Source organism: Homo sapiens, chromosome 11 (genome assembly GCF_000001405.40).
Source record: "Homo sapiens chromosome 11, GRCh38.p14 Primary Assembly".
NCBI classification, from domain to species: Eukaryota; Metazoa; Chordata; class Mammalia; order Primates; family Hominidae; genus Homo; species Homo sapiens.
In genome coordinates, this window is record NC_000011.10 from 131566289 (window position 1) to 131593623 (window position 27335).

Below are 27335 nucleotides of genomic sequence, written 5' to 3' on the forward strand. Positions count from 1 at the left end.
GCCAGTAAGTCTCCCTTGCAGAATGTACAAATTCCTTTACAAGGATGTAAAAACAAATCAGGAACTCCTTTATGCTGCTTTCTCCAGGAGGGAGTCTCCCCGTACCTGCCACTGGTGCATGTGTGTGTGTGTGTCTCGATGTGCGTGTGTGTGTGTGTGTGTCTGTGTGTGTGTGCACGTGTGCTAGATGCAAGGGGCATGCAGAAGGAGAGCCAAACTGCTGCTCGACTCATCATCCACGCAGTGTGAGTCTCGAGCCTTCCAAGGCTGACCCTCTTTTCCCCGCCATTCTGTTAATTGAGCCACCCGTGCCAACTCCTGAAATGCAAGGACAGTCTTGTCAGCAGGGGAAGGCACCTTGCACCTCTTAGCCAAATGCGGCACAACTTTAAACCGATTAATAAAACTCTTAAAAGGATAATATTGTTGGGCAAAGTGCTAAGGTTTCCTGCTTTCGCTTGGGTTGTATTTTTATTAAGCTGTAAGCCTTGTTCTGAAAAAGAGAGAGGGGGAAGAGGGAGTGAGAAACAGAGACTTTTATAGCCTGCAGCCTCTTGTTTGCAGATTATTTTCCAAAGATGCTCAGTAGAATATCAATTGCCTGTGATTAGAAGTCCTGCCCGGTACTACCTTGAACAGAAGAGGCTTTAGAAGTGAAAGCAGTTCCTCAGAGAAGCCACACATTTTAGTCTTGGAAAAATCTCTCAGCTGGAATTTGACCCTCAAGGTGGTCAGAGCTAGGATGTGGGGGTGGAGCTTAGGGGGTTGGGTGTAAGCTGGGGAGATGGGCACGTTTGGAAGCTCCCGTTCTATTTCACCTAAGGAACATGTCTTTTCCTCATCACCAGAGAGACCCTGTGGGGGACTGGGGAAGAGAGGGGCTGGGAGATGCTTGGTGGGAAACCTAAAAAAACCCTAGAGGCCGGGCACAGTGGCTCACGCATGTAATTCCAGCACTTAGAGAGGTCAAGGTGGATCACTTGAGGTCAGAAGTTTGAGACCAGCCTGGCCAACATGGTGAAACCCCTTCTCTACTAAAAATACAAAAATTAGCCGGGCGTGATGGCACACACCCGTGATCCCGGCTACTTGGGAGGCTGAGGCAGGGCAATGGCTTGAACCTGGGAGGCAGAGTTTGGCAGTGAGGCAAGATTGCACCACTGCACTCCAGCCTGGGCAATAGAGCAAGAATCTGTCTGAAAAAAAAGACCCAAAAATCTAGAGTCTGGCCAGAGATACCTGGGAAAGCTCTGACCTGGAAAGCCTAAAAGACGTGTCCTATTGGAAGCATTGCTGCTCAGGGCCCATCCTGTTAACTCTTCCAGTTCATGAGGAATACAACTTACCACAAACATTAAAAAATCTTCTTTCCATTTTAATAAATAGTGATAATTTCTAAATGGAAGTATGAGCCTGCATCAGCTCAGTTGTGTAAATGTTAAAGTCCTGCGTCTTTCTTCCCCAAATTATTTCACAAAGATGCTACTTGAATCCATTCCACTTGCCCATCAAAATGAGAAGATGGCACCAGTGAAGGCAGAACAGATGGGAGAGATGGAACATCACCTGGGTTCCCAGGGACCCAAATTCTTACAGACATTTGTAGTGACAGAGGTGCAATCATAGCACATGGTATGTGCCCAGTAATTACTTGCTGAATAAATAAATTCATAAACAGTAATGATGGCATCCTTATTATTACTACTAGAGCATAGCAAACACTACTGAAACCGCATCATCAGCTGAGAGCACAGTCCTATGTGTTTTACATATAGTAAGTCACAGAATCCTCTCGACAGCCGAAGGAGGAAAATTCTCTCTGTTTCAGTGGTAAGGAAAGTAAGTTCAATTTGCCTAAATCATTATTAATTATTCATAAATGAACTATCCTCCAATCATAAACAGTAAACAAAAAAGATGTGGCAAAAGTGGCCAGCATCTCTAGGGCATTGACCACATACCGGGCTCAGTCCTGGACTATACCTCAGTAAATCTTCACAGTCCTCTTGCAAGACAGTGAATATTAGATCCATTCTACAGAGAAAGAAACTCACTGACCTGTTAACCTTCACTTGATATGGTATTGTCATTTCACAAGTGGGGAAGCTAAGGCTTAGAAAAGCTAAGCTCTTTGCCCAAAGTCACATTGCAAATGCCAGGAGTTAGATTCTAGCCTAGAAAAGAAGAGTGAGAAATTCTCCTAGTCTCATATGACGTCATAGCAACTGTCCATCTAGAGACCTTTGCATAGTTTTGATTGGTCAGATGTGAAAAGAGGGTAGTCTTCCCCCAACACAGGCTGCACCCACACTTCTCATGGGAGTCTTTCAACACCACCACTGAGACAATCCAACATGGTGGGAAGAGATTTCTTCTGCACATACTGGGCCTAGAATCCACAGCCTAGGTCCACTCACCTCTCTGATGGTTTCTCATTCCACCACGGCCAGTTGAGTATGGAGCACCAGCACGCATTCAAAGTCAGCCTTGCTAATTAGAATATGAGGGGGCCTTAGTAATGTTGGGGAGGATTACAAATATATCAGTTCACATTACTGAGCTTGGCCCAGCTGTATACTTAATAGCTCCCAGATGCTCTCTCTCTCTCTTTTTCAACAGCTTTATAGAGATACAATTCCAGAACATATCATTCACCTGTTTGAAGTATCCACACACTTGGCTTTTAGTATATCCATAGAATTTTGCATCCATTACTGCAATCAACTTTAGAACATTTTCGTTATCCAGAAAGAAACCCTGAATTCCTTAGGCATCTACTCCTGAATCCTACCGTTGCTCCAGTCCTAGGCAACCCCTAATCTGCTTTCTTTTTATTGCTGTTTTTGTTTTCGTTTTCATTTTTTTTTTTTTTTGAGACAGAGTTTCGCTCTCGTCACCCAGGCTGGTGTGCAATGGCACAATCTTGGCTCACTGCAACCTCTGACTCCCGGGTTCAAGTGATTCTTCTGCCTCAGCCTCCTGAGTAGCTGAGATTACAGGTGTCCACCACTATGCCTGGCTAATTTTTGTATGTTTTAGTAGAGACAGGGTTTAACCATGTTGGCCAGGCTGGTCTCGAACTCCTGACCTCAGGTGATCCACTTGCCTTGGCCTCCCAAAGTGCTGGGTTTACAGGCGTAAGCCACTGTGCCTGGCCCCTAATCTGCTTTCTGTCTTTATAAATTTACCTGTCCTGGACATTTCATATGTCTTTTAATGACATTTTTTATTCCTACTTTTACACTCAGGTTTTTCTCTATCTTAACTTTTCTTTTTTTCTTCTCTCTTTTTTTTTTTTTTTTTCTTTGATACAGGGTTTTACTCTGTTGCCCAGGCTGGACTACAGTAGGGTGATCACAGCTCACTACATTCTCAAACTCCTGGGCTCAAGCAATCTTCCCTCCTCAGCCACCTGAGAGCTGGGACTACAGGTGCCCACCACTATGCCTGGCTAACTTTTAAAAAGTTTTTTTTGTAGACACTGGTCTTGCTACATTGCTCAAGCTGGTTTCAAACTCTTGGCCTCAAGTAATTCTCCCACCACAGCTTCCCAAAGCTCTGGGATAATAGGCATAGGCCACCACGTCCGGCCTGTATCTCTGTTTTCTAGGCCTAAGAAAGACCTGGGCCTTCTTGACTCCAGCTGCATGCTCACACTTTCCAGCCTCAGAAATGTCACTTTAGAATGGGCTGAAGTTCTGCTCTGGCCTGTGGTCCCCACTCAGGGAAGCTCCTAGGAGCTTGTCTTTTTCTTTTAATTTCTGCATTCTTCCCAGATATCATTTATTCTGTCTATATCAGTCTTCCTTTTCCTCTGGTCTTTGCTCTTAAGACTTCTAAGTCTGTGCTCCCATAACTGAAAACTGCACAGAATCACTCGAAGCTTATTGAAAAGGCAGATTCTTGGACCTCAGCTTCAGAGGCCTTCATTCAGTTCATGGGAATCAGCATTATTTGTAAGGCCCCCAGGAAGTTCTGAAGTGGGTGGTCCTTTGATTTCACTTTGTAAAGCTCTAACTGTCCTCTAGTAATACTCCTCGGCCGCGTTCCAGGAACATTCTCCATTCCTTGGTTCTGGCTCTGCTCTAGAATTGATTCACAAATCCTAAAATTTTCTAAAACCTAGAAGCAATAAATGAACCTTGAAAGAGATGCTTTTAGAACAAATTAAAAGGAGTGACTTAGTAGATCACAAATTGGTAGAGTGTTTACCCGTAGGAAACAGTGCAGGCTATAATAATAATTCAAAAACAAGGCCAGGCGCGGTGGCTCACGCCTGTAATCCCAGCACTTTGGGAGTCTGACGTGGGTGGATCATGAAGTCAAGAGATCGAGAGTATCCTGGCCAACATGGTGAAACCTCGTCTCTAATAAAAATACAAATATTAGCCAGGCGTGGTGGTGCGTGCCAGTAGTCCCAGCCACGCAGGAGCCTGAGGCACGAGAATCACTTGAACCCAGGAGGCAGGTGTTGCAGTGAGCCAAGATGGCGCCACTGCACTCCAGCCTGGCAACAGAGGGAGACTCCGTCTCAAAAGTAGATAAATAAATACAAAATAATAAAAATTATTCAGTAAACAGAATTGCCTATTACATGCTAGGCACTGCAGACTCAGAAAGGAACAAGAATCATACACCCCTGGCTCTCCAGAGGGAAGAGAGTGGCGGAGAAGACAGCCATGGAAGAGCTGATTAAGGCAGCATGGCAGTGCAGAGTGGTAGTTAAGAGCAATGGCTTTCCAGCCAGTTGTGCTGAATCCCAGTTCTGCTGTGCGGCCTCGGGCAAGTCACTTAGCTGCTCTGTGCCTCAAATTATTGATTTGAAATGGGGATAATAGTGGCTCCTCATGGCATTGCTGTGAGAAGTGCTTCAGACAAGGAGGTGCTCAGGAAGTATTAACTATTAGGTAACTAATTAACCATGCTTTTTTATAAATGCTGGAGTTGGGGAGGGGAAGTGCAGTTAGTAGCTTGGCCGGAGCTGCTCACTTGGTCTGAAAGACTCTGATGAAGTGACATTGCAGTGGCTCCAAGCGCCGTACTTGACGATTTACATATATTAACACGAATCCCCAAAATCCTGTAGAGTAGGTATTATGCCTGTGTTAATCTACCCAGGAGAAAACTGAGCTTTCCAGGAAGTTTAAGCATCTTGCCCAAGGTCATAGAACTGGAAATGGCGCCAGCTCCCAGGCAAGCTCTTAGCATGACAGGCCAGCAAAGATGCAATTCTGGGAGGAAAGCTCCATTATTAGTTATTGGGGGAAACCAAAACATTTTAAAATAACTGTGCCCTCTCACAGGCTGCCTCTTGGCACCACAGTCAAAGAAGAATGCTGAGCTGGAAAAACGTTGTGTTTAGGGAGACAATTCTTCTGTCCTTCTGTTTATGTTCTTTGTTAAAGAGCACGGTGTAAAAAGACAAAAGAGATGTCGGATTTCCTTCTCTGAAACAGATCCCACAGCACAGAAGGCTGCAGTCTGAATCCTGTACTATTTAATTAAGGCAATACAGGACTTGTCCTTTCAGAACTAGGTCACAAGTGTGCCTCAGCACAGAGACTCCTTTTTGGTAATATGGGCTTTGGGAGGAAGAGAGCACATATGAAAAAAAGTGAAATCTGTCTTCCAAGATACCAGCTTTCTGTCTTGGGCAGGGTACAGTGGGCTAGGCGAACAATTTGAAACAACAACCACAGCAATCTGAGACCCTGGTTGGGCCAATTTAAAAGAAATTTGACCCATGCTCAGACATTTCATAAACTCCCATTGAAATGCACAAAAACATGCACATCAGGTCAACCCACGGTGCTTGGCTGGTGGGTCAGTGTGTAGCCGGGTGCCCTCTCGCATGCAGAGAAGGACATAGGCACACACAGGGCAGCCTTTCTCTTTCAGAAAGGATATCACTGGCCACAGTGCTTCCTAGGGAGGCCACGGGGTCAGACCATCAGAGGTGCCCTGATGTACAAGGGGAGCCTGGCTAAAAGGTACAGTGATCTGTGACAAGATTCCCATCCCAGAACCCAGGATCCTTCTGATACAGAGAACAATTTAAGATATTTGCCCCCTAAGGACACTCTTAGGCATTATTCTTCTCCAGAATTAAAAGAACCAAAACTGGACCATCCGTGACTCCTGTCCCAATCTTCCCATCCAGGCTGGATGTTACCATTTTCCCCATCCCTGCTTCCTTCCCTTTGTCTTCCTTTACCTGGCTATGCCTTTTGACCTTTGGTGTGACAAATTTCAGCTGCCACTAATGTTCATGTAGAGCATGTTTCTCTTTCCCTTGGATGACTGTGCGCGCATTGAAAGACTTTGCAGAGACGGCTCCCTGAATAGAAATGCATGCCAGACAAACAACGCGAGCAGCTCAGACATCCCCACAGAGGCTCTGGGAGCTTAAAAAGCCCACGTCACCCTAGAAAAGAGGCTATTAAGGTGTGGCGTGATTTGCACTTTCAGGCAGAAGCTTTTTAAGCTGCTGCAGAGCCCAATCACAGGGAGATGAAGACTTCAGTTTCTCAAGATATGCAACTCTTCTGCTGATGAAGGAGAATGTTCCCGGGTGCAGGTGGAGTGAGAACGGGTTCCTGGCACACATTCAGCAACCTGGTGAGGAGAGCTCGGACCATGTCGCCGTCACCTCTTGTCTGTCTGCTCCCCATTTCCCTGCAGCCTCCAGAGCCAGCATAAGGGGCTGGAGAGGAGGCTCAGGACCATGTAAAGATCTCAGTGGAGCTGAGCAGAACACCACTGACTCTGCACTCCCTCCTCTTGACAAGGCCCTGGAGAATCCCTAAACAAGAAGCAGTAGCAGCCGAAGCCCAGGAGCATGTGCTGGAGAGGGTTTGGGAGCAACTGGTAAAGTCTGACCTGCTGCCCGGAGCCCATGTCATCTTCTATCATTCCTAGGAGGAAAATTAGACCCAGAAGCCTGGCTTTGGAACAGGGAAGACTGGGGTTTACATTTTGGCTCTGCTTATTTGTCATTGTGTCCCTAAGCCACAGTTTGCTCATTTGCAAGATTTCTGTTTTTCAATACTGTAGAAAGGAACAGATGAAAAGTCTTGCATAAAGTGCCTCACAGTAGAAAACCAACATAAACTAGCCTATGTGATATTTTCAAATGGCAAGAAAACGAAGACAGGGACTCCCAACCAGCAGGGGACAATTCAGTTCAACTGAAAGTAACTTCAGTTTTCTCCCATTGTTGGGTAGAAACAGAATTTCTACTCTCTCTCAAAGTCTTACCCGGTAGGTGACCACCTCTCCCAGGCACATCCCGCTCCTCCAAGGCCTCGTCTTCTGAAACAGTTCCCCCTCCTATGATTGCCGGGGAGAAGCTGGAAGAAAAAGAAATAGAGATTATTTTCGTTAACAAGTGCCTTCTATCCAGATGACATTTTTCTGCTCCCAAATCTCTCCTGAATTGGAGTCGTACCCCGTACTGTCTCTCCATGGAAAGATCGGGCCCTTTCTCTTGAAGAGTGAGAAACTGAAGGCAGGCTACTCAGTCATCTCTCGAGTTGGTGACCAAAATGTGCCTGTCCCCACATGGATTTCTTCTAGGGGGCTGGAGCACTGTCCACCTGCGGGCACTGGAATCTCCAGGAGTTTCTTCTTTTGCTCACCAGACACAGCCCCATCACATGAGCCACAGCAGCCTCATGCTAGCTTAGGGGATAAAGGCCTGCAGGCTCTTTTCCTTATTTTTAAAGCAAATTGCTCTATTCCCTCTCATGGCTTCAGCACGTGGGTGTTGGGGAGGAGTTCGGCTGTGCAGGTGTGGGAGCTAGACGCCCAGTGTGGTGTCTGGGGAGGGTTGATGGACAGCAGCTCTAACGTGCTTAGAGAGTCAAGGCTGGCTCGGCCTTTGGAAATCCAAATAATCTTTAAATGCCAACTTTATGCTTCATAGTTATAGTGAACCATTCAGGGGTGGCTGCAATTCAGGAAATGATATCACTGCACTCCCCAGTCCAGTTAGTGACCCATTAGCTAAAAGCTGCCCTGAGTGTCCACAAGCCCCCATTCTCAAAGCCCCCTCAGGTGCCCCACTCCCTTTAATTCTTTCAACATCTAGGAAAAAGGCGTTGTTCATACTCTATTTTACAGAGGCATAAATTGAGACCCAGATGGTGGTGATGTGACTTGTCCCAGGTTATGCAGTGTGTGAGGGGCTTTCAGAGTCCCAGGCCTAAGGTATCCCCACTGGGCTACACTGACACACTCAAGAAATGCAAACTAGAGTGTGTGTATGTGCTTGAGTGTGTGTGTGTGTGTGTGTGTGTGTCTACACATGCACCTTTACATTCACTTAGGTAGGGATGGCTGGGATCCTGTCCAGTGATCTACAGTCAATGCCAGTCCCAGAGTTCCTTGGGTGAAGAAGAAAGAGAAGTTAGGAGAACAGTGGAAGGAAGAGGTGTGGCCTACACCTTGTAAAGGAAGCAATATTATTCCTCCTGGGAAGTCACTTGTCTCCCCAGGCTTTGAATGGAAAGCAGCCTCAAAGTCCCTTGGCATCGACGGGGGCTGCTCCCTCCCCACTCCCCACTGTTACCTCTGGGAAGACCTATGCCTGGTGCTGAGGGGACCTTTGGGGCTATTTGAATAGCAGCAATCCTCCTGATTTGCTTCTCTCCAAAAAACCCCCTACTTGGCTGTGGCCTGAGCTCTCTCAGGCTTGGAAGAGACTTTAGACAGCAAGCACTTCAATCTATGTTTAGTGCAATAATCTCCTATTCAGCAGGAATTCTCAAAATTTTTCTCAGAAAACCAGTCCGTTTGGATGACTCTTTAATAAAATGGGGATAAAGGCTCCATAATTCGCCAGTTTAGGAAATTGCTGGATACCTACCCTCCTCTGAAAGAGTCACAGTGAACTTCAGCATACAAAGGCTCTGAGAAGTCCTGCAACAAGGAAACCAGTTTAACATTGTTAAATTATGGTAAGACTAATAGGCTTTTATATAGACACACTTTAAACATCTTCTGTGACAGGGAGCCCCCCGTCACATTAAACCTTTCTTCCAAAAGTACACTTACAGTATATGTCTTTGGGCCTATATATTTTAATTTCTCTTCTGGTTGAAATGTTTCTGGAGTATAAGAACTACATACCCTATTATTTATATGGCAGTACACAACATATAGAGATGTTCAGTACTGCTCTTTCCAATAGGACATCTAAGGAAACCGAAGCATAGGAAGTGGCACAGTCTAACTGAGGAGCATAGTTAATGAAATTAGGGTGTTTTCTTGTTAGATCGCTATAACTTTTAGAGTTGAGATGACCGAATGGGAATCTACCTTTCTGCAATTCCCAGCCTGATCTTTCTACTTTCACTCTATTTCCTTCTACTGTTTAGCTGAATATCTTCAAGAAAGTAGTTTAATGGTAGGGAAGGGAGTGGAAATAATAAAAATAATGGCTTATCCTTCCCCAATTCAAAAAGACTTCGAAGTGCAGATGATTTTTCACCTGCAGCGCTTGGATGGCATTTACCTCTAACGAACTAACATACTCTCCCTGGCTCCTGGAAGCTCCTGCTCTCTCCAGGCTCACTGGGTGCTCTGTGGATTCCAGATGAATTATCTCAAGTGGCAAATATACCTTAAAAGGAGCAGAAGTGCAATGCGTCTTCTAATACCAGGGTTAAAATTTCATTTTATTCCTTGTCTGATGCTATTCAGGACTGTTATCTTCCTTCGTGCTCAATAGGCAATAGAAATATATATGTCGGCAGAAAGCCAGGCTCAGACACGGTATCTAGAGAAGGTGGGCTGGAAAAAGGGAGTCAGTATGATTTGTGCTCCCTTCCTTCCTCTCTGCTCCTACCAATTAGAGAAGGGAAGGACCCAGCCCCCAGACCATAAATAACAGCTCGCCCCTGAAGTAATATGGCTTTGCTCACATTGGCTGCATATTCTATAGGTTTGCATCCTTTTCAACTCTTCTCCAGCACAGCTGAACAAATACAAGAGGAAACAGCAGGATGTGGATATTTGAGGGCTCTTCTTTCAAAAGAACCAGGATTGGTCCATCTAAATGCACAGAAGATAAAGCTCTTCCTAGCATCCTCTTTCCTCCTTTTCTGGTTCCCCATTCCTTACTTCTTAGGGTCACAGCCCTGACCTGCCTTCACCCATTGTCTTATACTTTTGCTCGATTCTCCACCCCCAAGATTATCAGAGCTTACCTGTCTTTCCGCTTCTTCCTTTCAATGTTCTCTCAACTAGACACACTGGAGAGGCTCTAGTTCACACCAACCCTTCAACGACTGGCAAAGACTGCCTCCATGTAAACATAAGAAAATGCCTAACTCAAAAGAAAAATATAATCTCTAATGGTAGATTCACATAGGAGAGCTCATGAGAATAGTTTCCAAGACCCTTCCAAGAATGGCCAAAGGGCATCTGCCTGCATCAAATTTGATAATAAGATGATCCCTGACGTAAATAATAACATAATCATTAATGGCAAAGTTTCTGGAGTCTGACTACCTGGATTGAATCTTGGCTCTGTCAGTTTCTTACTGTGTGACCCTGAGGAACTTCTTAATTTTTTTCCACAAAATGTGGTGCAATAATATCACCAATGATATGGTTATTGCAAGATTAAATAAGTTAATCTTTGCAAATGTTTAGCACTGTGCCTAGCCCATTGTAAATACTCAAAAATATTACCTCTCAATACATGGATACTAAGATAAAGTCATGTGGTATACAGGCACATTTCAAGGACTTTGGGGTCAATAAAACTTGAGTTTGAATTTTGGCTCTTCTGATTACTGGCTGTGTGATCACAGCCAATTTATTTAACCTCCTTTTAGCATCAGTTTCCTCATTGGTAAACAGGAATAATTGCATTTCCCTCATTAACACTGTTGTGAAGGTTGAAGAAATCATGTATTTGAACATACCTTGTAGCTAGAAGGCATCAATAAATATTTGAGGATGGGGAAAACATCCTCTGAGCAGATAGCTTGAAAAAAATGACAAGGATTCTTTGGGGCATTTAGATGTGTGCATTTCAGTAATGGACTTACTTAGTCGCTCTGTCCTGAGGCTATCTATCAACTCTTATAGCACTTCTGTGAGGCACAGAGCAAATGTGGATAATGGTGTCTTGATTTTATTAACAAAGTGAGTGTCCCAAGAACCAGTCAATATAGCACAATCAAATACAACTCCAGACAGGCAGATTGCTTCCTTCCTCTAAAGCAGTAGTTTTCAAATTGTATTTTGCATTTCACTTTTTCAAGAAGGATCTAAAATAGGACATTATTATAATATATAAAATAGTAACATTTCTTGGAACGAAAGTGGCTAGAGTTGTGCCTGCTCTGTTTCTCCTTCATATCCCGCGGTGGTGTCTGCAGTACCTCTAAGGAAATCTAAGTCTCTGCAGGATGCAGCTTCAAAACCAATGCTCTAAAGCCATGGAATTTTCTTCAGACTCTTACAGTGTGCAGTATGGATTAATAGTGATTTCCTACTGTCTTAGATTTATTAAGATTAAGTCATGTCAGACAAACCTCATTTCCTACTTTGACAGTATTCTCCAGGGAAATGTAGTGAATTGGTATTTCAGGAAGGCATTTTACAAAGCCTTTTGTAATAGCTTTATTGCAATGACAAAGAAGTTTACACTGAATACCAGTAAAATTAAGTGTATTAGTAAGTAGATGAACAACTATAGCTAACAGGTACTGAACAACTAACTGATCAATGTCAAGCGGCAGGCTGCTAGGACACCTAGGACACTGGCTGTGTCCTGTATCATTAAATATCTCCATCAGCAAGTTGGATGAAGACATAGAGATGACACTTATCAAATTTGTGCATGACATGAAATTGGGAGGAAAAGCAAATTTATCAGGTGATCGAATCCAGAAAGATCTTGTCAGGCTGACAGAATGGGCCATATCTAAGATAATGGAATTTCACAGGGAAAAAATGCAATATTTTATAATTAGGTCCCCCAAGCAAATTATTCAAATATAGGTTTATGTCATATCTGATGTCAGATTCAGTTATGATCTATCTAACGGCAGGAAGTAGAGGCTCTTTGAAAGAGTCTTTCAGGTAGATTTGAGCAGTAGATAATGGGATAGAGAAAAAAGGCCAGTGCATTTAGGGACAAGGTGGATACCACAGGGGAGAGCTGCAGGGAAGTGGGGTGGGTCAGAGTGGGTAAGTATTCCAGTGAGAACAGAGACAGGGGAGCTACATACATAAAATAACTCTTTCATTCATTCTTTCTGAATATATTCATCATGAGGCCAGAGAGTATGGCTTTTAAGGGCATAGGCTCTAGACTCAAACTATATGAAATTCAAAATTGGCTTTGTTACTTCCCAGCTGTGAACCCTTATGCAAGTTACTTAACTTCTCTGTGTCTCAATATCTGCATCTATGGACTATATTTGTAACTATCTCCCTCATAGGGTGATGGTGAGGATCCAGTTCCCTTATGCTTATGTAGTATTTATTATTTTGACAGTTTTTCACTAAGTACACAGCCTGATTGAGGAGGAGGAATGAGATACATTACTTCTTGTGAAGAAAGGCTGATAAGGTTCAAGCAGAGTATCCCATGCAGGAGGTTCACAAGGCCTGGAAGCTTAGCAAGATAGTCACAGGAAAAAGACAGAAAGCCAGGAATCAGAACTGCATAACATGGAGGAAACCGGACTTGGGGACTAAAATAGAATTTAGGCAATCAAAAGAAATGCAAGGTCTGAGTCCAGCTAACAATTGATGGGGAGCTTGAGGTGTTGGGCTGCTGTTCTTTAAATCTCTTGTGTTTGAGATCAGGATTGATTACAGAGGCAAAATCAGGGTGGAGACTGCTGTAGGGTCACATGGACCCTGCTCTGAGGAGCAATGGGAAACAGAGGCTGGAAACTAGGAAGAGCCTCACAGATTGGAGAAGCAGAGCTTAGTCATAGCAGGGCAGCAAAAGAAGACAGAGAGAAAACAAAACAAAGCAAAACAAAAACAGAAATATAAACTATCTGTTTTGCTGATTGTAAGTTTCCCACAAGTTACAAGAGTGAGGTTCCCTCTCCCTTTTATAGTATATAAAACAAAATATTCAAGAGTTCTGCATTACTGTAAACCAGTCAGGCAGTCCCCTAGAGTACTGTCTAATCATTGCATCCCATTTTTAAAAGGTTTGAGAGGCCCCACGTCGGCCTGGAGGATAATATTACAGGACCCCATAATATGTGAGCAAACAAAATAGAGCTTTTAATGTCCCTGTGGGGGAACCAAAGCCACGTCCATGCATGGGAGGAAGACCTCTTACAGTATTTGCAAGGCTATCTTCTGAAGGAAGAGTGGTTGATCCTTGCTCATTTTGCTGCCAAGGACCAGAGAATGGAAGCTCCAGGAAGAGAACTTTTACATCCAAAGTCAATGCAAGGGCAGAGATGCAGGGCTTCACCTGGGGAAGGGCATACCTCCCACGGCTGGGAAAATGTGCTCAGGAGTATTCCAGCATTGCTTGAATGGGTTAGATGGAAATGTTGAAAACCTTTCCCCAACATGGCATTCTATATTTCTATAAAAACTACTATGAGACAGTTGAGTGAGCCCCATGATTTTGGCATGCATCAATGCCATATTTAGAATGGCTGCCCTGAGCAACATTTTTCTCTGCCATCTTCGCAGTCATTCCTGGGAAGCAAGCTGTAGTTCTCTGCCGAGCCAGGAGGTGGAGATGGCCTATAATGTACCCAGAGAGCCTGCAGGGAGGGCTGCGTGATGAGGTTGAGCAGTGGGGCTATCTGTGTGGATTGGCAGCCATAAAGGAATCCGAGAGCTCATCGGCCGCCATCTGTCTTCATTTTGCTAACCCCCTCTATTGGATGCCACAAGCAGCTCACTTCCTATATTTATAAACATCCCCAATCAGTCATTTCTCTGCCCACTGTCACATATTTGTGGCATTAATGCTGGCTGCTTTATCACAGATTGGACTTCATTTCAGGCATAACTCTCATATACTGTGGTTCTGAGATCTTTATAGCCACATTACGGTATATGGCTGAGTTGTGATTACACATCAGTACTGTGAGGCCACTGACAGCGATTTGGCCCTCTCCCACCACCTGCCACACCTGCCCTCTGAGGGCAGCTATAGATCATGCTAGAGACACAGGAAAATGGGATCTGTGAGGGAGAGAGAGAGAGAACAAAGGTTAAGGCACACACTCTCCAGGATTTAGGGTAGGCCAGGGCTATTCCGTAGGGCTGAGAACCCACAGAACTGTCTCCTATTGGCAAAGTGACCTGACAGATGGAGAGAGCTAATGGGAGGGGATGGGAGTTGAGAAGGAGTAGTCTATAATTGAACTGACCTTTCTGGTTGCCCCTGATCTCAAAGCCGACAGTGGGTGGTAGACTTCCTTTTCTGATGTCTGAAATCAGGAATGTAAGTTAGCATTTCTTCGTATTCCCTTGCATCATGCTTGTCCCATTCATAAGATTGCTCTCCTTGTAGAGATGAAAAAAGAATCTTTTTTAGTCCCACTGTGTTTGGGTTCTTGTAGCTGTCATGCACGGATCCCAGGAACCACAGTCGCAGGGGAAGTCGCAAAAGTTCTCTCTCATGGAAGTCACAGTGGCCACCAAAAGGTCAAAAGTAAGAGCTATGCTTGGTCAGTAGACAACAAAAGAGCTTGGAGGCAGGAAGCAATAAAATTTTAGGGAATTATGAGGCCCTGGGTTATTGCTAAAAGGGTGTGGGGTATGGGGTTTGCCACACTCATCTTCAGAGAGAGTATTTTTTTTATTCTGGAATAAAACAACTTTTTCAAGTCTTCTTGGTCATGGCTTCTCCTTACAACTCAGAGAGACAGAAGAGCTCTTTTCCCCTTGGTGGGCGGAGCCCACTGCTCTTGCGGGTTGCTGGCAGTCTTCCTGGCTCCTGACTAGCCTTCCACCTCTATTTTCCTCTTGCTCTCCAAATGTGTAGATACTGTTCTTTTCCTCGGTCCCCAGGGAGGCATGGACCACAAGATATTACTGAAGATTGAGCGGTAACAGAGGAGAGTTGCTTCAAGGAGAGGGAGGAAGTCTAACAGAGTCAGATGACGAAATTACAACGAATTTAGTTGAAAGCTCCATTTGGATTTTACTTTTGATTTTAGGATCGGTAAAATAAAATGAGTGTTCCTATGAGCTGAGGGTGTTGGCTTTATAGGCAAAAAAGGGCTGAGGAAAGCAGAAACAGAGAACAAAAAGCAAATTGGCCTTTTTAAGGGGTACTTTATAGAGTTCAGACAAGGGGACTTCCTCGTTATTCTGACTCTGGCTGACCAGAATTGCCTGCTTTTTGGAAAACTGGTCCATTTCAAAGTTTGGTTTGATTACTGAACACTTAACACAAGTGACTCCGTTCTGGTTTTGGTCTGTTCTGCCTGGGCCCAGGGCAGGAGACTGATCCCCTAAAATGGCCTCCCATGCACTTTGTTTAATAAGAGATTTCCGACTTCACTTATGAAACCCAGCACTTGCAGCCTTTCCCTGACATCCACACTCTGCTGGTGCCCTGATTCTTCCAATTCCAGGGCCCGAGACTGCCCCTCACTCTCCCCCCTCTTCTCAAGGGAAACAAACTGGCTTTCCTAATAGTTCTAATTTCCCAGAGAGGGTGCCCTGCTCACAGAGGAACAGGCTTTGCCATGACTATGCAGAGCTTTTTCATCCTGATGATCTCAAAATCCCCTTCTAGAGGGGCTCTCAGCCTTCACTCTGCAGATCAAGAAGCCCACCAGTCCTCACCCACCCGACTCCCACCTTCCCTGCCCCTGGGAGCCAGCTTTACCCAGACGAGTTCTGCTCCCAGCCTCTAAAATGCAGAACGGGCTGCTGCTTTCAAAGCTATACTTCGATGGAGTTTCCTATACTAGTGAAATCTGTTTTAAATGAACATCAAGAATAGCCTTGAAAGGGAAAATATGGACTCGAATCTACGCCGACTGGCACCAAGCGGCATGTGAGAAACGTGAGGAAAAAAAGTCCAGCTCTTCCTGCTCGTCAGCTGGGCCCTCCCCCTTCCAGAAAGCTAACTGTATGTAAATGAATCCCTTCATCTTTTTTTAGACCCATAGCAGTTGCCGCGCTTCCAAATTTAAGTAATATATGCTAAAGTTAACTTAGTAGTTAAACTATGCTTTGGAGTTAAACTGCCTGCATTTTAAATCCAAGACTTACCACTTATTAGTTTTTATGTTTGTTTTGCTTTGTTAATTTTTTTTAACTCTAGATGAGTCTCCATGTTCTTGCTTAAAAAAAAAAAATATTATTTACTCCTGCATCGGCAAGAGGAGAAATCAATGGATGCCTTCAAAACACTCAGGACAATTTGTGGTGCATAGTTAACACGCAATACTTAACAAAGTTAATGCTCAATAATTGTCAATGTCACATTCCCCACGTCCATTACTTTTCTGTTAGACAAACAACAACCCCCACGCCCCCTTCCCCCACCAAAAAAACCCAGCCCCTTCTGAGATTTACTGGCGTTTGGGGTAATGCCATCGCAGCAGAGCTGGGCACTGTGAGTCCCACGGAATCCCGCTCTGTCTGCCATCCCTCTCTATCCAGCCTGTGGCTTCATGGCCTGTACTTTCTTTTAACTGAGGTTTTCAGGAAATCAAATAGAAGGGATTTCTGTAGGACGATGGCTCCGAATGCTGCTTGGATCTTCTAGATGTTCCTCTTTTCACACACGGGTAGCGTCTCCCTGGCTCTCTTTGATGATCCAAATGCATCACTAACCTATTTCCACAGTGCTGGGGACACTGTACCAGGAAGCTGCCTCTGAGTCCTCAGTACCAACAGAGCAGATTATGTTCCATGTTCTTCCAATTGGATTCAGGTCCCTAAGCTGAATACCAGCCTGCTGGCCCTAGAGAGTAGAGAAGCCTCTCTGCACCTTGAATTTTTCACTCATTTCAGAGAAATCCGTAGCCTCATAGCAGTACCTTCCCCATCCACCTCCCCAATATACTGCACACATTTCATTATCTAGTTCTTTAGCTCTTGTGGCAAATAGATATTAAAATATTAAATCTGTCTAAGATATCTTCTTCATAAAATATTAAGAGAAAATGTCTGTGTTAACAATGTTTTAACATGAAATCATAAACAAACTGCTGTAATTGGGTATTTTTCTTCTGAAGGTCATATGCCTCCAGAAAAATCACCCTGGCAAGTGTGCAATTCAGAAGAGTAATCGCGCCTTACCTTCAGACACTGTGCTTTTTTGTGTTCAAAGAGCATTCTTTAAACATTAATTAGTTATTCCACCAAATATCCTAGGAGGTGCGGATTAATATCTGCTAAACACAGATGGTGACTCAAAGGGAGAGGGAGGCTGAATCCTGCCTCACATCACACAACGAATTGGAGGCAGGACTCTTTAGTTTAATCCCTGCGAATGGACTAGCAATAAATCACAAACTGGGGCCAAGGAACCAAGGAGTATTTATTCTAAATTTCTTATGGATTTCTTCTATTCTTGGATTTGTATGAAACCCATAGATGAACCCCTGAGAAGTACCTTCATGGATATGAGTCCACTATCAATGGACCCCTTAAATCAGATAGTCACTGTCCCAAGGATCTGCAGCTAGGCACTGTTAGAATGAAGCTCTCTCCTCCTGTCTAACAAGATGGGAACTGCTTGCTTTTGAGTCCATTTTAGCTACAAGTGATGTTTTATGAATGCTGAACAGTAGAAAAAAGAGACGTGCTGGCATCTTCCTGGGATCCCAATACACTAGGACTACTACAGGCAAAAAGCTCAGAGGTTAACTGGCTGACAACCCTCTTTGCTGACACCAGCCATGAGTGAGTGTCTCTCAGTCCCTGCCCTGTGCTTTTCCTAAGGACTTACGACGTCCCCATCGCATAAAACCACTTGCAACCATTCCCAATAATTGCAGTGTGAAAAGTGAGCTGATCAGCATCCGACTTTTATGGCCGGCTACTAACCCAGCCAGCATTTTCTAATAATACTTTGCCTTTATATCCCAGGATCGCAGAGCAATTTACGAAGATTAATTAGAAGCGCCTCAGAACTCTCCTTCTTGGTGGAGGCAGGGGCGGAGGCCATGAGAGGGGAGTTAAATGAGCCTCCCTGGAGTGTGGGAAGTGAGAATTTTAAGTGAGGGCTCCTCTGGTTCAAGCCGGGACTATATGTGAGAATAAAACGCTGGGTCCCATTAGTAGTCAACAGAGAAACAATCTGTCATCTGATATTCCAAAAGGATTCAATTGGGAGGAAGTAACGAGCGTGTATTTGTTTATTTTTTATTTGAAAAATGATGTAAATACCCAAATTTGTTACTACCCCTGGGGTTTCGGCAAGATGCCCAAGATATCTGCAATTTTGTGAGATTACAGCCTGTGTCAATCACCCTGGACGGAGCCATTTCACTCTTTGCCCTTCAGTGCCCACAGCCTGCAGTCTCTGGTTCGCCGAGAGGCCGAGGGCGAGCTGGGATCCATGTGACCCTTTGATGTCTGATGGGACGGAGGCTGGCCCTCTCCGGGCCTCCCCCTCTCAGTGCTGCATCGGGCCTGGTGCTGCCAGGATCCGCTTGGCAAAGAATAGGGAACGATGGTGGAGAAAGGACTCTATCAGGCCATTGAAGAAGCGCAGCTGCTGAGAGGCCAAGGGGGGTGCAGTGGGGGGGAAGCTGCAGTGACGTTCTGTTTTGTTCTTGCAACCAAGGCACAAATTAAGGCAAAATTAGAGACTTTCTTTGGGCTATTGGACGGATGGGAGGAGGAGGAAGACGGGGAAGCAGAGCTTTTAAGGACAGCAATTTGAGAACATCTGAGACAAATCTGTGGCTGATTCTTTTTTTGTGTGAATTAGTTAGTGACTTTCTTTTTGGATTCCGGAGGGGTTTTTCCCCCCTTCCTTTCCCTTTTTGCACCATGCACATGTAAATGTGATTGAGAATTCTTTCGTCAGATCTGCTGCCTTGGCAGCCTTCCTGCCAGCTGGCCTGGCTGGGGGAACCCACGCTGGCGGCTGATTGCGATTGACAAGTCCGGGTTTGGTGGGAGGAAGTTCACCATGGGAGACACTCCTCAGGCCCTCCTTTGGGGCTTGGTTCCTGCAGGAAAGGAGGGTAGAGGGGACCCCCCAGCAGGACTGAACTCCTCCTCTCTGCCCGCAGAGGGCGCCCAAGCCAACACCACCATGTTGTGTGACCACCTAGCAAGCACAGTTGTGAGTGCAGACGGTGGCTACTCTCGCCGGGGCACCATCTGATGCAGAATCACTGATGCCCAGAGTCGAGTAGAGTTTGAAAGGCCATGGAGTTTACATCCTCCTTCTCTATCTCATTTCATGCCTCTATGTAGGGCATTTCATCAAAACACCGAGATAGAAGTAAGTGTAAAAATCTTGCCTGCCCCAAATGGTTGTAGTGTGTGGTTTGTCCTATTTTTTGCTTCTCTGTTTCAGCTCATTTTCTCTTTGTGTCCTTTCCTTTTTCCCACTGTGGCTCCAGGCCATGTTGATTTGCTAGTGTTTTTCCTTACCATCTTTCCTTTCTTCTCCCTGCCCACGCAGATTCTCACCAATTTGCCAGAACCTAACTCAAGGCTTCCATCCCCACAAGTTCTCTCTGCTAACTAAATGGGATTGTGTTTACAACTGTTGAGCACAGAAACTTACCTGTCGTAACTGGTCTCTAAAAGTTCAGTGAAATTACACACTGTCATAGGTAATCTCGTGTGTGTGTATGAGTGTGTTAGCCTTTTAAAACAATATTTTAGTTTTTCCTTTTTTTTTGGATACAGGTTCTCTCTCTGTCACCCAGGCTAGAGTGCAGTGGTGCAATCACAGTTCATTGAAGCCTCAACCTCCCAGGCTCAAGCAATCCTCCCATCTCAGCCTCCCAAGTAGCTGGGACCACAGGCATGCAGAGACAAAGTCTTACTATGTAGCCTCATGTGATCCTCTCCTCCTTGAGTATGGGTTATGCTTATTCTATTATTCTTACAAATAGAATACAGCCGTAGTGATGGGATGCCACTTCCACAATTAAGTTACAAAAAGCCCATGGATTTCCTCTTGGGCAAGCTCTCTCACTCCCTCTGGGATTACTCACCCAGGGAGCCAGCTGCCATGTTGTGAGGAAGCCCTGTGCAGAGACCCCTAACCTGTTAATGGTCATATGAGTGAGCTTGAGGCAGATCTGCTCCTCCTCCTAGGCAAGACTTTAGATGAGACCACAGCTCTGGCCCACAGACTGACTGTAACCTTAGGAGGAACCCTGAGCCAGAGGTACCCAGCAAAGCTCTTTCCAGATTTTTGACCCCAGAAACTGTGAGATAATAACAGTTTGTTGTTTTAGGCTGCTTTGTTTGTTACACAGCAACAGATAATTAATACAATGGGTTTTCTATAAGACTCTTTTCTCCTCTTAAGGTGCTTTAAAGAAAAAGACGGTAGGTTTTCAAAAAGAAAATGGACAAGCTTCAGCATGAAGAGACTGCTTTTTAAGTGTTTTCAACTCTTTGGAAAGAACAATCTATATCACTTATCTCACACTAACCGTTTCTGAACCTAGAGCAACTTCAGCTATTGAAAGAGGTATCAGGCAATCTACTATATCAAATTAATTTTAGTTAACTTAAAAAATAAGTGATGCTCAATTGGGAGGCTACGGAGCAAGCAGAAGTACTCAGAAAAGAGAAGGACACTAACCAGTACTAACTACACCCAGTCATTACTCCACGTGACTTGCATTGTATTATCTCATTTTATTTACCCATTCATGCTCTGGAGTGAGTTCTGTTATTATCTCCATTTTACAGATAAGGTAGCTAAGGCACAGAAAGTTTAATTACATTTCCCAATGTTGTATAGCTTTGATAGGCTGAGGTGGGCAGATCACGAGGTCAGGAGATCGAGACCATCCTGGATAACGTGGTGAAACCCCATCTCTACTGAAAATACAAAACATTAGCCAGGCATGGTGGCAGGTGCCTATAGTCCTAGCTACTCGGGAGGCTGAGGCAGGAGAATGGCATGAACCCAGGAGGTGGAGCTTGCAGTGAGCAGAGATCGCACCACTGCACTCTAGCCTGGGAGACGGAGCGAGACTCTGTCCAAAAAAAAAAAAATAGGCCTTACTTCGAAGTCCATACTCTTGACCACAAATTATTCTGCCTTACCATTTCAGACAAATTCAAATTATTAAATACAATCCCATTTTAGAACTCACAAATATTGGCTAATTGAAAAATTGATGAATAATATAGATGTAGAATGAAATTGATACTATATTATATATTTTTTAATTTTATCCTATATAGGCAAAGCTTATTTCACCAGTCATAACACACACCTGCATGAGTGGAATTGTATCTTAAATGCTCCACTGCACCCAGTCCAGGACTCTATTCTTTCATGACTGTGCATCAGAAACAACTGGAGGAAGTAAGTAAGACAGGGGCCAGCACAGAGAGAATTACAGTAGTTGACAGCATGAAAGAAGAGGTGGTCAGAGATCAAAACAAGTTCAGGGCTGGTGGAATACAAAGTGAGAGAGAGAAAAACCAAATCATCATCTTTAGGATGAGGCTGATGAGGAAGAGTGACCCATAGCTGAGCATCAAGTAAGCCAAGGTCACAGAAAGACAACTAGTAATAAAGCATGTGTGGAATGCTTGCTATGTGCCAGGCACTGTTCTAAATGATTGTCATGTATTGTCTCCTTTAATTTTACATCACCATATGAGGTGGTTACTAAAAGCGTCCCCATTTCACAGATGAAGAAACCGAGGCACAGATTATTGTTAACTCCCAGCCACAATTAGCAAATAAAAGGGTTAAGACACAATGAGAGATCTGCTGCAAGCTCACTCAAATGACTGTTGGCAGGTTTTGGTCCCTTGCCAAGCAGGCGTCTGCACAGGGCTTCCTCACAACATGGCAGCTGGCCACCCCCAGTGAGCAACCCAAGAGACAGTGAGAGCTTGCCCCAGAGCAAAGCCACAGGCTTTGTATAACTTAATTTTGAAAGTGACATCACATTATTTCCAAGATGGCCTGAAACAAAAATCCTTTCTCTTGACCACTACTGTAAATTTTCTTGGCAATGTAGTTTAAGTCAGTACTAGTGTGCCATGGTTATGAAGCAAATTTGAATTAAGGAATGGGGATATTTACCTTTTGCTATATTTTATAGATGCTGGATCTGGGTAGGGCAAGGACACAAAAACCAGTGATAGCCAGAGGGATTTGCCATCTTGGTAACTTGAGTCTACCTAGAACCAAAACAGACAATCAAAAGAAAAAGCCTGGAATAATTATTTAGTCCTGCTATAATTTTACTGAACATCATCAAATTTTTAACACTTGTAATCAACCTACTATGGGGAATGGCATCAGGCTAGTTGGGTATAGAAAACTACGTCAGACAAGGTCTCCATCTGCTTATGAAGACATTACATGTAAATATTAACTCTGGGCAATGTGTACTTATTGTTAAATGGGGTAAAGACATTAACTGCTTGATGATTCTGAGAGAACTCACTGTGAGCTCATGTGCTGTGATTTGGGTTTTGAACAAGAGAAAGAAAGAGAAATGGCATTAACAGGTGTGGCTCATGCAATGTGAAAGTGGAGGGTTTATATGGGAGAGTAGTGGAGCCTCACGCTGCAGAGGACTCATGCCTGAGCATGCTAGGGGAGAGGTTGGTCTTCGTCCTGTAGGTTGTGGGTGGACACTAAGGTTTGTGAGAAGACAGGTGGCATGATAAATTAGTATTTAAGTGAGATTAACACAGCAGTTATACAGGAAACCATGCCACTCTTAACCTGGAAAAATGTGTGTGTGTGTGTGTGTGTGTGTGTGTGTGTGTAGGCTCTGGTTGTAGTGGGAAGGCACGAGGCTAGAAGTCAGAAGACCCAGTTTCTTGTAAATATCTTACCATTAATAATACACATGAATTTAAGCAGGGCTTTTTTCTCTTCCCTGGGACACACATTCTTCATTATAAAGTGATGGGATTGGAGACTCTCCTAAAGTCCTCCCAGCACTAGCATTCTGGATTTTTCACACTGCCATCCCCCTCAATTAGTGCTGTAATTAAAAGCTGACTACACATCCATTCTCCATCCAGAAACTGCAGTCCAGGGCTTCCCACAGGAGCTTCTGCAGAGGCAAAACAACCCTGTCCTCTTCTTTCTTACACATGATGATGAAACCAAAGTGTTTTTCTCCCCTCTGGCTTATTTAACCCCAAATCATTATTTGTTTTTTTGTATCTTATGCCTTTCATGTCCTAGGTTTGAAGGTGATGTGTACATGGCAGAGAGACACCATCCCACCCCTTCCTCGTCACTTTTGTTGAAAAATGTTCCTGCATCCACACATACACACATGCGCACACACATGTGACACCAGGTCACTGCCTGGCCTCACTGCTGAGGAGATGAAAGCAAAGTTTCCAGGGCACTTATTGTGCCTCACCTGGTGTCCCTTAGCTGGAGGTGTGAGGCTTATATCAGGTAATACAGAGTGGAGGGCTCGATCCCCATATAAGTAGTACATTTCAGAAAGTAGCAAAGAATATTTCTTCTGCGCTAAAACCCAACAAAGCAGCAAGGGATACGCTCTTCCCCAGCCACATGCCAGGATCCTCCTAAATGCAGATATTCACCAAGGAACTGGAACGTTCTCACTCCAAGGCTGGAAAAATGACTCCCAGGATAATCTGTGGATGTAATTTGTCTTTCAGTCTATTTTGATCAATCTCTTCCCTGCACCCAGCCCTCGACCTTGCTGCTACTGGGAGGCTCATTCTCATGGAGACAGGGAGAACCTCTGTCCCCTCCCCAGTCAAAAGTCATCTGTGTCCTTTCTGTTTTTTAGAACCAGGACTGTCTGACAGCAGTGATGACCCTGGGGGCTTGTGTCATCATTCAATTCCCATGGTGGGGGAGCAGGTGGGAGCAGAGATACCTGAAGCACCCAGAAGTGAGTGGGTTTGCCCAAGAGCTGAGTGTTCATTAGACTGAAAACAGCAAACAGGTTGATACCAGAGGAGAAGAACCAAGCGACATGCTGGAAGCCCAAAGTAACAGCCTCAGAGTTTAAGAACAGGGGCAGAAAACAGTGCAAAGCAGATCCCAGAGATAGGGCCAGAGGAAGTGCACTGGACTGGTCTCTGGTGTCCAAGCAAAGTGCCAAGCCAGGTGTCCCCTGCACGACAAGAGGACAATTGGATGGCTTCTTAATGTCCCAATATCAGGCCACTGGCAGCATTTACAAGTTATTATAACAACAACATTCCTTCTTTGAATGCTTGCTCACGGCCAGACACTGTGTAAGGGCTTTAGAATACTATTAAAACTCATCTGCATGGCAATTGATGTGAAGGCTCTTTTCTCCATCTTGTAGGTGAGGTAACGGGCTTCCTAAGAGAACTTATGGGACTTGTCCAAGCTGTACTGTATAAATGGCCGATGTAAGGTTTAACCCAGGTCTGGCCCCAAATCCAATGCTCTTAATTACTGAACTTTGCTGTCCCCACACAACTCCAAAGGGATAGCATGCGAGTGGATACCCAGTCATCATTTGGGCAGTGCTCAGTGGCCCTGAAGTGAGGTGGGCTGGAGACAGGACTGCACTCCCAGGAGAAGGGCTCCGGGTAACCTGAGGTGACAGGAGCAGCAAGCAGGCTGGATGAACCAAATGAAATCCTTGGGCGTAGTTTCAGTGCATCCATTCTGGGAGAGTCAGCAGCACTGATTCAGCCAGAGCTTCAACTTCTTAGGGAAATTTCTTGCCAGCTCAGCTGTTAAGACTCAAATTCCTCACCTCCTCCCAGCCCCCACCGCAGGGTTCTCTGCTCGCTGCTCTCATCTTCCCCATGTCACTCACTCATCGCAGAACCAGAAGGCTCAGCCAGCACTGAAAGGTCCCTGGGGAAAGGGGGGCCCTCCTGGGGGGCCCAGATCTGTAACAAATGACTTCCCGCAGAGACAAGCTGTGCTGTGCTCAGAGGCCCTGCTGGGGAGGGACGAAGCCTCCCGTGGGCCTGCTTGGTCTATCTGCTGCTGACAGTCCATGGAGCTGAGCTGGGGGAGATGGAAGGGGGGCACACCCTGGCTCCCCACTGGGTTTAGGACCCAGCCTGCTGAGATTCGTCCCATCTGACAACCCTGCACGGAGATGCATGGATTCCCTGCCTAACAAGACTATCTACTGGTGAGCTGAGCTGGGTAGTTCCCAGCTCAAATGAGCCAAGGCTTGAGATTTGCTCCCCGAAAGGGTCACTGATAAAGAAAACCCCAACTCTGTTGCCTTCAGTGTGTCTTTCACCAGGTAGATAGGTTCTGTCAGTCACATGGAGGAAGCTTGAGAGTGTGGATGGCTCAGCCCTGCTCATCACAGCCACTGGGAAAATACCCAGAGCGCTAATGTGCCCAGCAGCAGGCACCAGCATGAATGGGAAGGGGGCAGTTCATTCACAGCTGAAATGCACTTCCCTGTGTCTAACCTGAATTCCTCCTGCTGCAAGGTAAACCTCCCTTCGTTTCTGATTTTATTAGAGAAACAGTTCTTGTGTTATGCTCTGGGTAAGAACTACTCAGTTGTTGGAAGCCCATCCCACAGCCTCACCTGCTGGAAATCAGTCACCTCTTCTTTTCCTCCCTTTATACAAATAGAGCACTTTTGCCCCTGGTTGGATAATGATGTTCCTCATAACAGGTTAAGTCAATGGTTAAGTCAGTGATGAGGGGTAGGAAACTATTTTTATTGGGCATCCACTACGCACTCACCCCACTTAATCCTATTTAACTTAGTATTTGTCAAAGGATCAGAGGAACAGCTCTGACTATGGGAGGCAGAATTACTGGGCTCTGCTAAAAAATGTGGTAGAGCATGCTGGGCCTTCAGGCCTAGACTGGAGTCCTCACACTGCTACTAACTGAGAAGCTTTGAGCATGTAACTTCACCTCTCTGAGACTCAATGTCCTCGTCTGCAAAATGGCTTTGAGCAGCAGCTATAGCCTTTTAACCTAAGATCCACGAAGTCTAGCCCAGGGCCTGGAAATCACACATGCTCAGTAATGACTTGTTTAGTAAACAGGGCAGTGCTTGAATGATTCTGGTACAGATCATTCAAATAACATATTTAAAATGCCTTACAAAGCTTGGCATATAATAGGTCTTTCAAAAAAAAAAAAAAAAAGCTAGTTTCTTTTGTCCTGCAGTAGTGATGAAAGCCAAACAACCACGACCTGAAATTTCCTCTCTCCTATTCACCTCCCCAACACAAATACACACACACACCCCAAACACACACACACACACACACACACACACACACACACACACCATAGTTCAAAGTTGACCTTTAGGGGCTGTTTCCTCCTCCTTCCCCACCACTGCTTGCTCCCTCTCTCTACCTGGTCTCCTTGCCAGCCCTGGCCTGCCACACTCCCCAAGCTGCAGTCCCCCAGGTCCCCTCTCCCTGGCCCCTGCCTCCCCACAATGCTGGGCTCAGAGCAGATGTGCAGCAGCCTGCCATCATCTCTGATGCTGCCCTTCCCTGCCAATCTCCGGCCACGTCTGGCAGCTGGAATTGCAGTTCTCCTTGTTTACAATGCATTGTAATTGCAGACACAGGCTATGCTGTCATTTGTAATTTTCTCTTGTCCTGTTCTCCCTGCACACTCCCTTGCCTAAGTGTCAAGCAGTTGCCCTTGTGAGTGGTACTATTGGCAGGAAATGTGCTCCAACATGCAGCAAAAAGCAAACTATTATTTATTTCTCATTCTCTCCCTCTCCACTCAATAGATGAAATAGGCAAAGAGCAGTCCTGTCCCTCCTGCAGCCCCCACCCATCCCTACACCTCTCCTTCCCCAGTGCCATTAGTTCCTCTAATTGCTAGGTCTCCTCTTTCAGTTTGGATTTTGCTTCAGGATGTCTGGAGATTACAGGGAGAATTGCCTTCCCTGCTACAGTTGTCTTTCAACAAGTGAGGGAGCAATTGCCTGGCTTAGCTCTCAGCAGGTGGGGTACGAGCATCTTCTGGAGACAGGCTGCTGGCTGGGACTTCCCAACCCATCGTGTCAGGCAGGGGACTGAGCCTCACCAGGGTCCATGGGCTCAAGGCAACTCTGCCTGTGGATCTCAAACAAGCCAAGTGTAAAGGCTCCCCTGCCCCGCCCCCCTGCCATAGCATGCACTGTTCTAAGTGGATGACACGTTACCCCATTTATTCCCCATTAGAGCTTTGTAAAAGCCGTTATCACCTCTGCTTCATAGAT

The 27335-nt window shown here is 45.1% G+C and overlaps 1 protein-coding gene across 22 annotated transcripts in view, besides 1 other annotated feature; it reads left to right on the forward strand.

Moving 5' to 3' along the window:
- The window catches only part of NTM (neurotrimin), a 966208-nt gene that overhangs the window by 195674 nt on the left and 743199 nt on the right, over nt 1-27335 (forward strand). Inside the window, exon 1 of one of the 22 annotated variants that reach the window (NR_170358.1) lies at nt 19274-19429. The exons of the other annotated variants lie outside the window; for them this stretch is intronic. The gene's annotated coding sequence lies outside the window, so the exon portion shown is untranslated. Of the gene's footprint in view, nt 1-19273; nt 19430-27335 lie in introns of those variants that run through there. 22 annotated transcript variants of the gene reach the window in all.
- Nucleotides 18027-18824: an enhancer, noted in NCBI's record as "H3K4me1 hESC enhancer chr11:131454209-131455006 (GRCh37/hg19 assembly coordinates)". NCBI's record gives its function as "activates a minimal SCP1, AML or CMV promoter by ChIP-STARR-seq in primed H9 embryonic stem cells {active_cell/tissue: H9 hESC(primed)}" and the evidence as "EXISTENCE:reporter gene assay evidence [ECO:0000049][PMID:30033119]".